This window comes from Homo sapiens, chromosome 4 (assembly GCF_000001405.40).
Source record: "Homo sapiens chromosome 4, GRCh38.p14 Primary Assembly".
In the NCBI taxonomy this organism is placed as follows: Eukaryota; Metazoa; Chordata; class Mammalia; order Primates; family Hominidae; genus Homo; species Homo sapiens.
Window position 1 is genome coordinate 185,278,269 of NC_000004.12, and position 16,313 is coordinate 185,294,581.

At 40.4% G+C, this 16,313-nt stretch overlaps 1 protein-coding gene across 11 annotated transcripts in view, besides 1 other annotated feature; it reads left to right on the forward strand.

Annotated features, from left to right (window-relative positions):
• SNX25 (sorting nexin 25) overlaps positions 1-16,313 on the forward strand; it is a 174,406-nt gene that overhangs the window by 74,032 nt on the left and 84,061 nt on the right. For 10 of the 11 annotated variants that reach the window (NR_186775.1, NM_001317781.2, NM_001423234.1 and 7 more), the window contains exon 6: positions 9,744-9,814. Coding sequence is in view for 10 of the 11 variants with exons in the window: in NM_001317781.2 (NP_001304710.1) it covers positions 9,744-9,814 (71 nt within the window). In the remaining variant the exon portion in view is untranslated. Of the gene's footprint in view, positions 1-4,535; positions 4,635-9,743; positions 9,815-16,313 lie in introns of all 11 variants that reach the window. The other variant, NM_001378032.2, reaches the window with a different exon arrangement.
• Positions 15,727-16,021: a silencer, noted in NCBI's record as "tiled region #940; K562 Repressive non-DNase unmatched - State 15:Elon". NCBI's record gives its function as "represses a minimal TATA promoter and a strong SV40 promoter by Sharpr-MPRA in K562 cells {active_cell/tissue: K562}" and the evidence as "EXISTENCE:reporter gene assay evidence [ECO:0000049][PMID:27701403]".

The window sequence follows — 16,313 nt, forward strand, 5'->3', positions numbered from 1 at the left end:
ACTTATGGCAATCAGTCAAGCACCTCAGGTAGACCCTGGCCAAGAGCTTGGGCTCAAGAGTCAGACAGACCTGGACTTAACAGACCTGGTTTGCATTTTTGCTTTGCTTTTTGAAGCTGCATGACCTTGGGAAAGTCATTTAAACTTCGAGCCTCAGTTTTAACTGTGAAATGGAGAAAATACTTCCTACTTCCTAGGATTGTTGTGATAATTAAATGAAATGACGCATGGAATGAATGAATGAATGAATGAATGTAGTTCTCGGATCATAGTAGTCTTTCAGTGAGAGCTAAAAAATAGCAGTTGCCGGGAGAAGGTAAATACACTTTCAGATCCTGACTTTAATAGGATTAATGGATGAGATGAAGCTACAAGATAATGTCTTATTTCAGAAAAAGTTCACTCAAAATGTAGGAGAAAGCCATTAGGACATTTTCAATATAGAACATAAAACTAGTCAACTAAAGGTGATATTCAGTAAACATTCTGAATAAAAAAGCTTAATGTAAGAATTGAGAATGAAACATATACGAATGGTGCTATACGTATGAGTATAAATAAACATTATAGTCATACTAACAGCTGACATAAAACTATGAGGAACAGTAGTAGAAAATAGATATGGATAGCACAGCAAAAATGTTTGGCGTTTTTGAGGTTATCTAAAAGGCACCAGCTAGCCAGTAGTGACATAGATTTGATTGTTTCTGTAACATGTAATTTCTGTAGGCTCTGGGAACTAGGAAATGAATATATGGTAACATTTTTGTTTATTTTAGGAAGATAAAAATATAGATAAGATTAAGAAATGTATAAATACCATTTATACTTAATATATTTCCAAATTGTATATATATTTTTATAATTATATACATATTATATATGTCTATTTTTATAACTTTATATGGGGAGAGGGAGACAGGTGTGCATGTGTATTTCCTAAGTTCAGGACACCTCACCCTGGGCTGCTCCGGTCCAGAACCTCCTACCTGATGTGACTCAAATAGTGTTGTAGGTACGTGGAGATGGTTTCCTCAACCCTTGGGGTGGCCTTGTGATGGCTGGTTACCTCAGTGTTCTGTTCAAATATAATTTTCTACATGTGCTATGAATAGAAAAAGACTGGGAAGCATGCCTTAGTCTTTCTGTGGAATTAACTGCCTTCTGCAACACTAAAAAGATGGGAAAACAGTTTTAAAAGCCCTTTAGTGGAAAGAGCCTTTCATAACTCTAAGTCCTAACTTAAAATACTATTTTACTCCTGACACTCCCTGCTTAATGCCATTGGACATACCTCATGAAAATATAGCGCAAAACCTTGTACTTATCCTCAGTAGTACTCAGAGACATAAACCCTAAAATGAGATATTTTTTCTTTGCTCATAATATTGGTGAAGATTAAAAATTTGTTAACTAGCATTGGCAAGGGTGTAGGAAAATAGAACCTTGTGTTCTGTTGGGAGGAGTATAAATTATTACCTTTTTGTGACACAATTTTGTAGTGTGGAAATGGGCATTCTTTTTGATGTACTTATGACTCATAATAATTTATTTTTAAGGAAATAATCATGTATGGACAGATTTCTCCAAGAATGTTGCTTGTAGTTTTTGTTGTTGTTGTTTTGTTGTTTTTTTTGTTTGCTTGTTTCTGTGCTTTGTTTTGTGTTTTTAAGACAGGGTCTCACTCTGTCACCCAGGCTGGAGTGCAGTGGCGCGATCACAGCTCACTGCAACCTTGACCTCCCATGCTCCGTCAATCCTCCCACCTCAGCCTCAGCCCAGTCCCAAGTAGCTGGGACTACAGGAGCATGCCACCACGCCAGGATAATTTTTGTATTTTCTGTAGAGACGAGGTCTCATTATGTTGCCCAGGCTGGTCTCAAACTATCCACCGACCTTGGCCTCCCAAAGTATTGGAATTACAGACGTGAGCCACCACACCATGCTGCAGTTTTATTTAAGTAGAGAAAAGCTTGTAATAACCAAAATGCCTAACAAAAAGGGTTTGGTTAAAAAGATTTTTGGTGTATCTATACAGTGGAATACCATATATTGGTAATGGTGTAGCATTAGCATATTTAATTGTGCTGGAAAATATTAATTATAAATTAATAAAAAACACTCTAAGGCAATATGTATAGCATAAACCCAGTTTTATAAAACAAAAAAATTATGTTTGCATAGAAAAAGGTTATAAAGATAGTCCAAATGTTAATAGTGGTTAACTTTGAATGTTGTGCTTTGTATATTTTCTCATTTTCTTCAATGAACATATGCTACTTTAGAGAAAGTAAAAACTGGTGCAGACTGAGAAAGTAAAATCTGCCCAGCCATTTATCAGGCTGGTATAACAGACACTAAAGCCACCTACAAAGTAAACAGGAAACAATATTTCTCCTAAGTACCTGCCATGGCAGTAAAATGTCATAATGATACCCTTCTTTGTGCTTTCGTGTTCACTGAGAAACTTTGTTTTCAAAAATCTTCAACTGCCAGTTCCTGTTTGGAATTATGTCAGTAAGAATGACAGATTCTACTTTTGCCTGGGTGATCTAAGTCAGCTTGACACAAAGAAGCAGCTTTGATTTACGACCCAGATGCAGAGCCGCAGTTATGGGGTTTCTGGACTCAGTATATCTATCTTGCAGCTTTCAGGAAACGAGACCCTGGATCCACCCAACATTGACCGCTTTACACAGCCCTGTCTTGGGCCTATCAAAATGCTGCTTCATTTAAATTTCACCTTCACTCCACTGTTCCCTAGAATCCCATAGTAATGTTACCTTTTCCCTCGTTTGGAGAGACGCCCCACAGCTTCCACTGCTACACTGTCTCTTGCTCTTTATGTGGGTCAGTTGACCTGATTTTGTTGGACTAGAGTGATCTTGGTGGTCTCAGGTTGATTGGGCTAAAATGCTCTGTAATCAGGAAAAAATAAGGCTGCTTCAAATTTATACATATTTAACAAACATGTATACGTACCATTTCCCTAGATAGTACATATCTAAAGACTCAGTAACTGTGTTAAGGAAGAATAATAATGAACATTTATTGAACTCTCACTGCGGGGCAGACTGTGTTTTAAGATTTTTAAGGGTATTATCTAATTTAATGTGTATAACAACCCTATAAAGAAAAATTACTCTTATTACTCTTTTCTATAAATGATGATGCTTTAGTTTTAGAAAGCTTAAATCATTTTCCCAGGATGACATAGTGTGTGTTAGAAACAGGATTTGAACACAGGCCATCCACTGTGAGAGCTCACATTCTTTACTACTCTGATACACTTTCTCATTTATCCAGCAGTCCCTTTTAGTAGTGCCATGGATGGGAAAAAACTTCAGCTTAGCTGGCTAAAAGCATCATGGCTTTATTTCTTCACAAATTCTATAACTGAAGTCCCTCTAACAAAAACATTCCTAGCCTGTGGCAACTCTGAAAACATTCTTATAAAATTCTTTAAGCTGGGTGCGGTGGTTCATGCCTGAAATCCCAGCACTTTGGGAGGCTGAGGCGGGCAGATCACTTGAGGTCAGGAGTTCAAGACCAGCCTGGACAACATGGTGAAACGTCATCTCTACGAAAAATACAAAAATTAGCCGGGTATGGTCGTGCGCACCTGTAATCCCAGCTATTCCAGAGGCTGAGACATGAGAATCGCTTGAACCTGGGAGGTGGAAGTTGCAGTGAGTCGAGATTGCACCATTGCACTCCAGTCTGGGCAACAGAGCGAGACTCCATCTCAAAATAAATAAATAAAAATAAAAATTCTTTGGTTTTTCATAAGCACTCGTAATGTGTATGGTATTCTCCATAATCTTGCTAATTTTTATAAAACAGTGTTTTAAACCATTTATCACATCGCATACCTGAGACTAAGGTTTGGCCAGCCTTTGACTCTGCCATGAAATTACAGCATGTGCATGTCCGGACAGGCTGGAGTGCAACGGCGGAATCTCAGCTCACTGCAACCTCCACCTCCCGAGTTCAAGCGATTCCCCTGCCTCAGCCTCCCGAGTAGCTGGGATTGCAGGCACCCGCCACCATGTCCAGCTTATTTATTTATTTAGTATTTTTAGTAAAGACAGAGTTTCACCATGTTGGCCAGGCTGGTCTTGAACTCCTGACCTCAAGTGATCTACCCACCTCAGCCTCCCAAAGTGCTGGGATTACAGGCATGAGCCACCCTGCCTGGCCTCAAATCTGTAACTATCTAAGGTGATGACTTTGAAGTGCTGCGTAGCATTTCAGTGAGTTTGAGATTGTTGGGACGTGTTCAGAAACACAAACTTGCTCTTTTTATTTAGCCACTTGTAAAATACCAAAGAGAGATGAGGTGGCCACTCTGAGGAGCAGATGGCAGTTATCTTTGTGTGGCTTTTCCTTGTCACTGGGACAAAGGATACTGTAGGTAGGATCTTGCCAGAGTTGGAAAGCAGCTGAATTCTTGTTATGCCCCTCCTCCCTAATACTTGACTTTACATTATCATTTTGCAAAACATATACCAACAATCTGTGCACTTTTGATCAAGGGAAAGCGTACAAACATCAGCCCTCCTGATTCTTGAACCGAACTCAGCACTTGCAAAGTCGTATCCTCCTCTGGAGAAAGAAAACCGAGTGAGTGCCAGGTAACTCTGGAAGCCCGTGTCCCCGTGTCCTCATGGATAGCCAGCATTTGGATGTGTTTGGATGTATATATTGTATAGTTTTGTTGAGAAAAAAACAAGAATGAGAAAGTCAATCATTTCCTCTCGGTATCCAGTAACAGTGAATTAAACAAATTCAGTAATCATCTTCAGATGCCCACTATGTGCAAAGTGCTGTGTCAGAAGGTCTGGTGAGTACTAAGATGAACTGGTTACACTCCTTGGATTCCACCCCCTGCTGTCAAGTGTTTGCAGTTCCTCACAGGAGACCCATGTGACTATAAGTAGCTAAGTAGGAAGCAAGATCCTAAGGCTGGAAGTGGAGTGTAAAGCACCAAGGAAGTGGGTAGGAGCAAATATTTTATTCTATAGCAGAGAACTCTTAAGAAAGCTTCAGAGAGGAATGGCCATGCATGGAGTGTTTAATAAGAGTTAACAGGATTTCAGCAGATAAGGGGAAGTGATGGTGTGCAGGAAGAAACAGGAGTACTGTTAAGGAGAAGGAGAAATATTACTGAGAAGGGAGTCAGGAAAGACCTGGAGTGTGTTCATGGTATCACGTATGGTCTGGTTTGGCAGAAACAGTATGCAGGAGGGATATAGAAGGCAGTAAAGCTGGAAAGATGATCTGGCATTGGCCATACTTACGTACTTAGAAAAACCCTAGAGAAGATAAGTATTAACCTATATTGTATTTTAGAGTAGCAGAAAAATGGTTAGAGCATGAGCTTTAGAAGACAGGCAGCCCTAGATTGTCATTCTGTCTCTAGGACTTAAAAGCAATGAGACCTTGTATAGATCTCATAATCATCTGAATTCTAATTTCCTTCTCTGTAATGTGGACATAATTCTGGCACCTTATTATGAGGATTAAGTGAGATAATGTAAATTAAAATATCTAAACAGGTACCCAGTACAATCTATGAATGTTTGCTGGTATTACATTATAATTTTATGGTTTCATTAAAAAAATCTTTAACTCTTTAGTCAGATGGTGTGTATTTTCTTTGGTACCCTTGATGACTCATTTGTTCCAAAGCATGAATCACAAAGAATATCAAAAGAATAAATTGTTCAGAATATTATTTTTACCTGTTAAGTGTTAGAAATGTTGACTCTTGTTAATTTAGCTCATTAATATCTATTGAGTGCCTACCATATGTTTAGTGCCAAGCTAGGTACTATAGGAGAATATAAGACAGAACTCCTGTGTTTAAGAGACTCTTGATCTAGTTGGGGTGAAAAAAGTAGCATATCTTTATTATACACAGAACTATGGTTTTGTAGTTTTCAGTCTACATTCTTAGGCTCGAAAATGTGTCAACATTCTTTGAAGGTGTATTAGGCCTTGAAATGACTGGGCACACCATTTTCTTTGTTCACAGCATTCTTTGTGGAAGTGTGACTCTTTAAAACAGCAATATGAAAGAGTAAATAGATACTATTATAGAGCAGAAGTCATTCAGGATTTCAGAGAAGACAGATATTGGTGTGCATTATAGGGATGGGGAAGACTTGAGGGAAGAAGTAATATATGTAAGATCTAGGTAGGTGGACAAGTAGGAAGACTGCCTTCCAGCAGGAAACAAAGCATGAGACTGTAGTTTTGAGAGGGCAATATAGAAACCAGCCTGGCTTAATTAGGTTCACATTCATAGGGAGAAAAAAAACGAAGTTGTTGGATAGTAGAGCCAGTGCCAAGTTGTGAAGGGAACGTAGGCAGGAATGTGGGGTTATTCATTTGGGGAGGTGCAGGAGGTAAACAAGGGAGAGATGAGGTGAGTGTTCCCATAGGAGGGTGTGTTGACAGGTGCTCAGGATGGTTTGGATGGGAGAGAGGATTGAAGTCAGGGAGACAGGCCATTTAGCCATTGCAGTGACCTACTCAGGAAAGAAGGCAGCCTGAAACAATGGTAGCTGAAGGTAGTGTAAGCAAGAAGCTTATTTAGAGGCATTCAAAGGACCATCCGTGGGGCTTTGAAACTGATGTTTATTAGTAGTATATATACCTAAGATGATTTTGAGAAGGATGATGGTACTAGTAGAGAAACGGAAAGGTAAGGAAACCTTACTATGGAAGAAAGAAGGTTAGTTTAGCTTGAATAGGCTTAGATACATAGGTACATAGATAAAACAGCTTAGAAAAAGTTAAAAATGACTCATAAGTCTACCATTTTAACACAACTGCCATTCATTTCATCTCTATTTTGCCTTGTAGCCCTGGCTCATATATACACATAGATACATATCTGCAATCATAAATGTATGTGCCATTTTTCATTTTAAAAATTAGTCTGTCATAAACATCTATTTTCATGTAATCTTTATTATTATAAATATTACTGGCTGGATGCTTTCTGTTTAATCTGATATGTCCTGAAAGCAAGGACCATATTGGTGGTGTTCATTTCTGTGTGTCTGGAACGTAAGAAAAGATTAAGAAATGTTTGTTTAATGAAAGCATCATTGGCCATACTCATTATTGACCATGAGTATTTTCGTGCGTTTCTTTGTAGAACTTGCTACAACAAACATGTATGTGATAGTTTGGGCTTTGGGTTTTCATTTTGATTTTTTTCTTTTGTTAAACTGTTACCTTATGATAAATACTTGAGATTGGAATTGCTGTGTGGAAGCACGTCAAGTCTTCCTCAGAAAGCTCTCTATCAGTTGGAGTGGCATTTGGCCACAAGACAGCTTGACATACAGCAACTTAAATGAGGCAGGTGTTTATTTTCCCCATGTCACCACATGTCCTGAGATTGGTAGTTAGGGGCTGTTTTGATGGTTCATGATGTAATTGGAACCCTGAACTCCTCCCGTCTTCTTACTGCATCATCCTTAGCTTGTAGTTTTGTTTTTGTGTTTTTGAGACGGGGTCTTGCTCTGTTGCCCAGGCTGGAGTGCAGTAACACAATCATAGCTCACTGCAACCTCAACCACCCAGGCTCAAGTGATCCTCCTGCCTCAGGCTCCCAAGTAGCTGGTACTACAGGTGTGCGCCACCATGCCCAGCTAATTTTTTTTTTTTATTTTTAGTAGAGACAGGGTCTCCCTTTGTTTCCCAGGCTGGTCTCAAACTCCTGGGCTCAAGCAATCCTCCCACCTCAGCCTCCCTAAGTATTGGGATTATAGGCATGAGCCACCACACCTGGCCTTTTTCTGTTTTGGGGTTTGTTTTGTTTTGTTTTGTTTTGTTATGTGTTTTTTAAAGAAACAGGGTCTTGCTCTGTCATCCAGGCTGGAGGGCAGTGGCGCAATCATAGCTCACTGAGACTTTGAACTCCTGGGTTCAATTGATCCTTCTGCCTCAGCCTCCATAGTAGCTAGGACTACCGGCATGCATCACCACTCCCAGCCAACTTTTTAATTTTTTGTAGAGATGAGATCTCACTATACTGCCTAGGCTCTTGAACTCCTGGCCTCAAAGCAATCCTCCCTCGGCTTCCTAAAATGTTGGGATTACAAGTGTGAGCCACTGTGCCCGGCCTGGCCTGTGGCTTTTACCCTCATGATTGTAAGGTACTGTTGTGCCTTTATCCAGTTGCATCCTTGTTTTACACAGAAAAATGAGGGAAGGGTGAGGACTAAAGTTGGAAAGGGCTTTTCTGCGGAGGCTGCTTTTAGCCTGCTTTCCTGGAATCCCTACCCGGTGACTCCTGCCTGTCTCCAAGGCTAGAATGGTATCACCTGGCCATCTCTGACTGCTGGGAAGAAAGCTAGTCTTTTTAGCTGGGTATGTCACTTTCCCTGATAAAACTGTAGGTCACTTAACAAGGAAGGAAGGGAGACTGGACGTTGGGCAGGCAGCCGGCAGTGTCTGCCACCATCTCTGACTGGCATGCCAACACTGCTCCTGACAGCCTGCTCTGAGGTCCTGAGAGTCAGCCACTGATGTTTATATTATCCAAATGAAAAAATAAGGTGCAAATTTGTGAGGAGTCCATGAGTAGCTATGACTAAGATAAATTTGTCTCTCCTCTGGGTTTTAGTTGAAAAGCAAAAGAATGTATGTAATTGTGTGCTCTAAAAGCCAGCAGATGTAACATTAAATCTTAGAACACTGCACGGTTTTTGTTCAAAGTAAGAATTAATGTTAAAGAACTTTATTACCAGCAGATGAAATTAATTAATTCATATAATTAAGGGCTAAGAAACACTCAGGATAAACCACTTTGATTAGGGCAATACTTAGTAACCATTAAAGGACTCTTAAGAATTTGGATTTGTAAAGCCCAATTGAATTTATGCTCAAAATAGCTACAACTCCAGGGTTGTACTCAGCACTTAAAATGTAGAATTATGTTTATTTTTCCTGACTTGGAGGTCTTCTTAGGCACACATATATATAGCTGGTGCTCTAATCTCATGCTTCTCAGCTCTCCGTGTGCCTTAGAATTGCCAGGAGAGCTTTAAAAATACTGATGCGAGTCCTGGTGCAGATATTTTGATTCTGTTGGGTTGGGACCGTGTTCTAAATGAGAAGCAATGAGGCGCTGCACTCAGGCAGGGCAGTGGGGCTGCAGGGGAGAGGGCAGTTCTGAGAACTATTTAAGACGGCACCATCCAGTAGAACTTTCTACAGTGAAGAAAATGTTCTACTTGGCACCGCCCGGTGTGGTCCACAAGCCCACAGGTACCGTGGAGCATTTGAAATGTGGCTAGTGTGATTGAGGAACTAAACGTTTATTAATTTAATTGGATAGCCACATGTAGCTCATGATCACCTTATTAGACAGTGCCAATGTAAGAAGTAGAATCAGCTAGCTCTGCTCACCTAGGATTGTGGAGGAGAGGGAGGCTGAGCATAACCTCAGAGTTTCTACAGGTAGTTATGCTTCTGGTATAGGGAACAGAGTGGAAGTGAGGAGGCTCCTGATGTTTACGTGAGGGCCTCAGAATGACTAGCGCGTGGCATGGGGCCCGGCCTATTGTAGATGCTCGGTCTATGTCGGATTATTTTATGGAGCCTTGGGCAGGATTCACAGCTCCTGTGTTACATTTGTTTAGTATAAATACAGTCTAAAGTTATTTCTGAAAATAGTATTTTCTTCCTCTTAAATCTTTTTCTTTTCTCTTTTTAAAAATCAGGTATCAAATTGTAGTGGAAATAATCCAGGCGACTACAATTAGCAGCTTTCCCCAACTGAAGAGGCACAAAGGTAAGAGCCAGGTTGTTTTCTTCAGTTCCACATCTGAAAGGTCAGCTTGATCCCCGGCCTTCTCCCACCTGTCAGATCTTTGGCAAATAGGAGCTTTTCTGGCTTACATTTAAATATTTCAATTTATTAAAAACAATACTATTACAGTATTAGAGAAGTAAATATAATTTCATCCTAACAACAACCTTTGTCTGTATTTCTGTATTCCCGTATAAACTTTATTCAGCTGCAGTCATAATTTTTAGAAGGCTAAAATCATTCAGTATATGTTTCTGTTCTGTTTTTAAACTAAACATGATTACATACTTTTTTTCACATATTGAAATTTAATATTTCTATCTTGAAACATAATCTTGATGGTCATTTAAATGACTCCAATAAGTTGAGATTTCATAATTAATCTTTTCCTTATTTTCCTTTTTTAAGCTTTTTTTTAAGGAATTATAAAATCTTTTTCCTTTATTTAAGCATTGGATTGCTAATAGCTTTTTCTCTCTTTTCACTCTTGTGTTGTAGGTTTTGTTGGGGGGTGGGGGGGTGGTGTATATATATATTGCTCTATCTTTTTCTTCCTGTTTGTTTCTCTTCCAGTGAAGTAAGATTCTTTCCCAGGCATGATACCAAAGAATAATTAAGGTGTGAGGATGGCTCTCAACTCCCTTGTAGTTTGCCTGATGCTAGAATATTCCCCTTTGCATGTACAAAGGTAGAGAACGTGTTAAAATCTAGAGTGCAGAGCAGGTCTGGCTTTGCAGCTCAGAGGCAGCAAACACTGCTTTCACCTTGGAGAACAGACATTCCACAAAAACCTCCAGGCCTGCTCAAGTCTCCGCCAAGGAGAGGGAGTAGAGTGCTAAAAGAACGGGGAAGAGTTGGGCCAAAGACATTAAAGCATGCTTTCAGGTTTCTCATGAGCACACAGAGGCAAAGGAAGCTTGGGCTGGGGACTTGGACCTGGACTTGCCTCCCTGAGCCTGACAGAAGGTAGGAGCAAGTACAAAGCAAATATAGGTATAGATTATGAAGAGGCACTGATTCCTCAGCTCAGCCTGTAAGGAAGCCTGTGCAAATATGTCCATTCAGCAGTGTTTACTGAGCACCTACTGAGTGATAATGATACAGTAGTAAACAAAACCTCTGCATTCCGATTCCCTAAACTAGGCTGGGAGGCAGTCAGACAATCAACAAAAAAATATGTGTTATTTCAGGTGGTCACATGTTCCTTGGAGAAAAACAAAGTTGTGATGCGGGGAGCCCTGGTAGGGAGTGCTGGTTCTGCTGCAGGGGAGGCTAATTCTGCATTCAGTTAGTTGGGGAAGACCTCACTCAGATGGTGGGCTTTGAGCAGTCATCTGGAAGCCTGGGGGTATCTGGAGAAGGGCAGGTGCCAAATCCTGATGCAGAAACTTGATGGGGCTGAAGAAAGGGAGAGAAGCCAAACACGAGCTCAGAGAGGCGGCAGGGAACCCAGTCACAAAGGCCCAACTGGTACTGCAAGGACTTGGGATTTTACTCTGAATGAGGACGTCTTTAAATGGGCTTTTGAGCTAAGGAGACTTGATCTGATGAATTCCTGCAAGAGTGTGGACTCTGTTCCTCTCCTTTTTATCACTGTTCTTGCAGAGAAGATGCTTCACTTCCAGACAGATGGATAATTGTTTGAAAGAGAACACTGGAGAGGTGTGCTGCCTTGCCACTGTAATCTTTTTTAGTGCCCCTCTTTGAGTTCAGTCAGCAAAATACCTTTCTTATTTTGTTATTCCATTAGTTTGCTAGGGCTACCATTAAAAAGTGCAAGCTGGGTGGTTTAAACAACAGGAATTAATTTTCTCACAGTTCTGGAGGCTGGAAACCCAAGAGCAAGGTGTCAGCAAGGTAGTTCCTTCTGAGAGCGGTGAGGAAGGACCTGCCTCAGGCCTCTCCCTGTCTGCAGATGGCCATCTTCTCCATGTGTCTTCACATTGTCCTTCTTTTGTACCTGTCTTTCCTTCATGTCTGTGTTTTCTATTCTTACAAGGATGCCAGTCATACTGCACTGGGGCCCATCTAATGACTTCATTTTAACTTGATTGACTCTGCAAAGGCCCTGTCTCCAAATAAGGCCACATCCTAAGGTACTTGGCGTTAGGACTTCAGCATCTGAATTTGTTTTGGGAGTGCGGGAAGGACACGATTCAGCCCATAACAGTTATGTTACAGACATTCTCAGTGACCCTTGATTCTTGAGTGTCTGTGTTTTCCGTCTAAGCTGTCCTTGCAACTCTTTTGGGTATCCTGGCTTCCTTCTGTTGTTTAAGCACTGAGGAAAAGACAAACAAACTAAGCACTCTTGGGGCCTTGGAGCCGTTTTGCCTGGGACAGGAAACACTGGACACTGGTCTCATTGCTTCTCTGAGGTTACTGGTTAGCAGTGATTGTCACCTCCAGCCTCTATGTCTGCATAGTATAATGCTCCAGTGGATTTTAATCTTCCTGCTTTTTGCAAAGTTAAACTGCTTAGATAAACTCTTACGTGCTTTGTGCTTAATACGAAATTTTAGCATGAGAATGTGTGTACATGTTTATATATAAGGACAAAGTAACTGTCAAGAATTTACTCTTAATACGGTGTATTCTGGTTGAATTTTAATTATAACTGAAGTGTTTGGTTTATTTTAAGTATTAGTTTCTCTCTGCCTAAAATGATCAAAAAGGTCAGAATCTAGTTTAAAGAGAATTTATTCAAGTGCGGAAGTTGAGGACTATAGCCAGGGACACACTGCCAGGTTGCCTTGAGTGCTGCAGAGAACAAAAAGAGAGGCTCAAGTTTTTAAAGAAAAAAAGACAAATCAGGAAAGGGGGCAGTTACGAACGTGGTCAGGAATTCTCATGGGTTTACAGAAAGAACAATGGTTAGTGCTTGGCTGTACACAGTTAAACAGTGATGTGGATGACATTTTATGGCTACCTGGCGTTAGTCTAGAGCCTGAAGAGAAGTGGCTTCAAGAAGTAATTATTTAGCTCATGGGGAAGTGTGACATGACCTCTGTTACGTTCTAAATGCCTTTCTGGCCCTGATCATTTAAAGGAGCTCACATTCCTTAGAAAAAAAGATTTTTCTTTTGGGGAGAAGAGGGTTAATTGTGGTGAAATATACGTAACAAAATTTACCATTTTTAAGTGTACAGTTCTGTGGCATTAATTACATTCATACTGTTCTGTAGCCATCATTACCACCCATCTCCGGAACTTTTCATCTTCCCAAACTGAAACTTCGTATCCGTTAAACAATAGCTCCACTCTCCCCACTCCCCTCAGCCCGTGACAACCACCATTCTACTTTCTGTCTCTCTGAGTTTGACAAGTCTATGTACCTCATATAAGTAGAATCATACAATATTTAAAAGGTTCTTCTGTCTCAATTCCTAGAGCTGCCATAGCAAAGTACCACAAACTGTCTGGCACAAACAACAAAAATGTATTTTCTCACAGTTTTGGAGGCAAGAAGTCTAAAATCAAGGCTTTGGCAGGGCCACGCTGCTTCTGAATGCGCTGGGGGAGCCTCTTCCATGTCTGTGCCTTAGCTTTCCATGTTGCTGGCAATCCTTGGTGTTCCCTGGCCTGGAGATATGTCACTCCAATCCCTGCCTCAGTTGTCACGTGATATTCTTCTCTGGTTTTGCGTCTCTGTTTTCTCAACAGGGGCACTAGTCATATTGGATTGGGGCCCACCCTGATTAAGCATGACTTTATCTTAACTTGATCACGTCGGCAAAGACCCCATTTCCGAATAAGATCGCTTTAGTAGGTATGGGGGGCAGATTAGGACTTCAACATATCTTTTTGGGAACACAATTCAACCCACTGCATTATAACTGGTAAGTTCAAGTATAGCATTTAGTTCCCTTTTTTGTGTGTGTGAAAATGCTAGAAATATCTCTTTTCAGCAAGCTTTCTGACCACATTAAGATTTTCTGCCTTTTCTCCTTTTGGGTTAATTCTGGTATCACTATTTAGCTTTTTCTACATTAGTCTCTTTTAAGACTATAATAGGGTTCAAAGTTAGAAAAAAACACTTTGGCAAAAAGTAGACTAGCTGGAACTGTATAGGTAGTTCCAGCCAGCACATGCCTTCATGTCCAGAAAAAGACAGGTTCCATGGAATCAGTGCTCTCGGGTCTAGTAAGAATGAAGGGAAGCAGTGACGAGGGGAAAAAAGTAAATTGGACTTCATTAAAAATGAAAAACTTGGCTGAGTGTAGTGACTCTTCCTATAATCCCAGCACTTTGCGGGGACCAAGGAGGGAGGATTACTTGAGGACAGGAGTTTATTTGTTTGTTTGTTTGTTTGTTTCAGACAGAGTTTCGCTCTTGTCACCCGGGCTGGAGGGCAATGACACAATCTCGGCTCACTGCAACTTCCGCCTCCCAAATTCAAGCGATTCTCCTGCCTCAGCCTCCCAAGTAGCTTGGATTACAGGCACCCACCACCATACCCAGCTAATTTTTTTTTGTATTTTTAGTAGAGGTTGGGTTTCACCATGTTGGCCAGGCTGGTCTTGAACTCCTGACCTCAGGTGATCTGCCTGCCTCAGCCTCCCAAAGTGCTGGGATTACAGGCATGAGCCACCGCACCCGGCCATGGACAGGAGTTTTGAGGCCAGCCTGGGCAACATAGCAAGACCTTGTCTCTACAAAAAAATTTTTAAAAATTATCCAGGTGTGGTGGTGCACACCTGTAGTCCTGGGAGGCTGAGCTGGGAGGATTGCTTGAGCCCAGGAGGTCAAGGCTGCAATGAGCTGTGATCATACCACTGTACTCCAGCCTGGGTGACACAGCCAGACCCCATCTCAAAAATAAGAAATAAATGAAACTTATGTTTGTCAAGGGACATTATCAAGAAAATGAAAAGACAACTCACAGAGTGGAGGAAAAATACTTGCAAATCATGTATCTGATAAAAAGGTTGTATCCATAACATATAAAGAACTCTTATAACTCGATAATCAAAAGAGCAATAACCCAGTTGAAACTAACACAGGACATCACTTCATGCCTTCTAGGGTGGCTAAAGTGAAAGAGATAAGAACTGTTGGTGAGGATACGGAGAAACTGGAAACCTTATACATTGCTGTTGGAAATGGAAAATAGAAGACAATTTGGCAGTTCCTCGAAATTTTAAACATAGAATTACCATGTGACCTAGCATTTCTACTCCTAGGTGTATACCCAAGGGAAATGAATTTGTATCTCCACAAAAAACTTGAATGTTTATAGTAGCATAATTTATAACAGGCAAAAATTGGAAACAACCAAATCACCATCAACAATGGGTAAACAAAATGTGGTATATCCAGACAAGGGAGTATTATTCAACAATAAAAAGGAATAAACCTTGAAAACCATATGCTAAGTGAAAGAAGCCAGATGCAATAGGGCACATATTGCATGATTTCATTTATATGAAATGTCCAGAATAGGCAAACCTATAGACAGAAAGCAGGTCACTTTCCAGTGTATGTTGCTAAGATGTTTTGATGTAGTATTTACATTATATTTTTTATTGAATAATTCTAAAAAGGTATTCAGTATTTTTATGTCATTTATTAGATGTTTAAAATTTTACAGAAAATTTTTGACAAAAGGTGATTTTTAATTTTTTCTGTTTTTATTTACATTATGGTTATGGTCTGGTTATGATTCAGGCATATTCATATTCATAATTTTGTAGTAATGAAAACATTTCAAAATAGTACCATGAGGGATTGCAGCACTAACAGAGTTAGAGAAACAATGTAAAACACGATCGTTTATAAACAGAAAATGAAAAAATAGATAAATGATGAAAACTTTAAAAAATATCTTTGGAGTATTCCAACTAGGAGGCCGATGCACCAAGTAGGAATAAGGTATTGCAATCTAGGACCTGGATAATGCTAGTGAAAAGGAAGGGATTGATAAGGAAGATCGTGAAGGACAACAGCCTGCTTAGCGACTCGCGGAAGATGGGAACAAAGGATCCAAGAGAATGATAGTGCTGGTGCGATCCGCTGACTTTACAGAGGAGGGAACAGCTGTCAGTTAGTGTAAATCACCTTGATCAAAAGGAGTAAGTATCAAGCACGCATAAATGCAGCTCAAAACACTTTGCTCAGCGAGGTCATCCCTTCCAGTCTACTGCTGTGTCCCATTGCTGCAGGCTGGTGAGATCAAGTTTAGGGTGTAAAAGAAAAAGCCCTAGCACAGGGACTTGGGGGCCTTGGTTCAAGTTCTCTTGTGCTGCTAGCTTCCTGATGGAATCCGCACAAGTCATTTTATTTCTCTAGGACTCAGTTGTTTTCATCTTTAGATTGAGTGCTCTAGATAATCATAAAGGGTTCTCAATGAAGATACTGAAGGAGTCAGGGGTTATGTAGGAGTTTGGTCTTGGACATCCTGGATTTGGGGCAAGAGGGGCATAGGAAACTCCTTGTTTGGCATTTCTAAGCTGGGATTCATGCTGTGGAGAGAGAATAACCT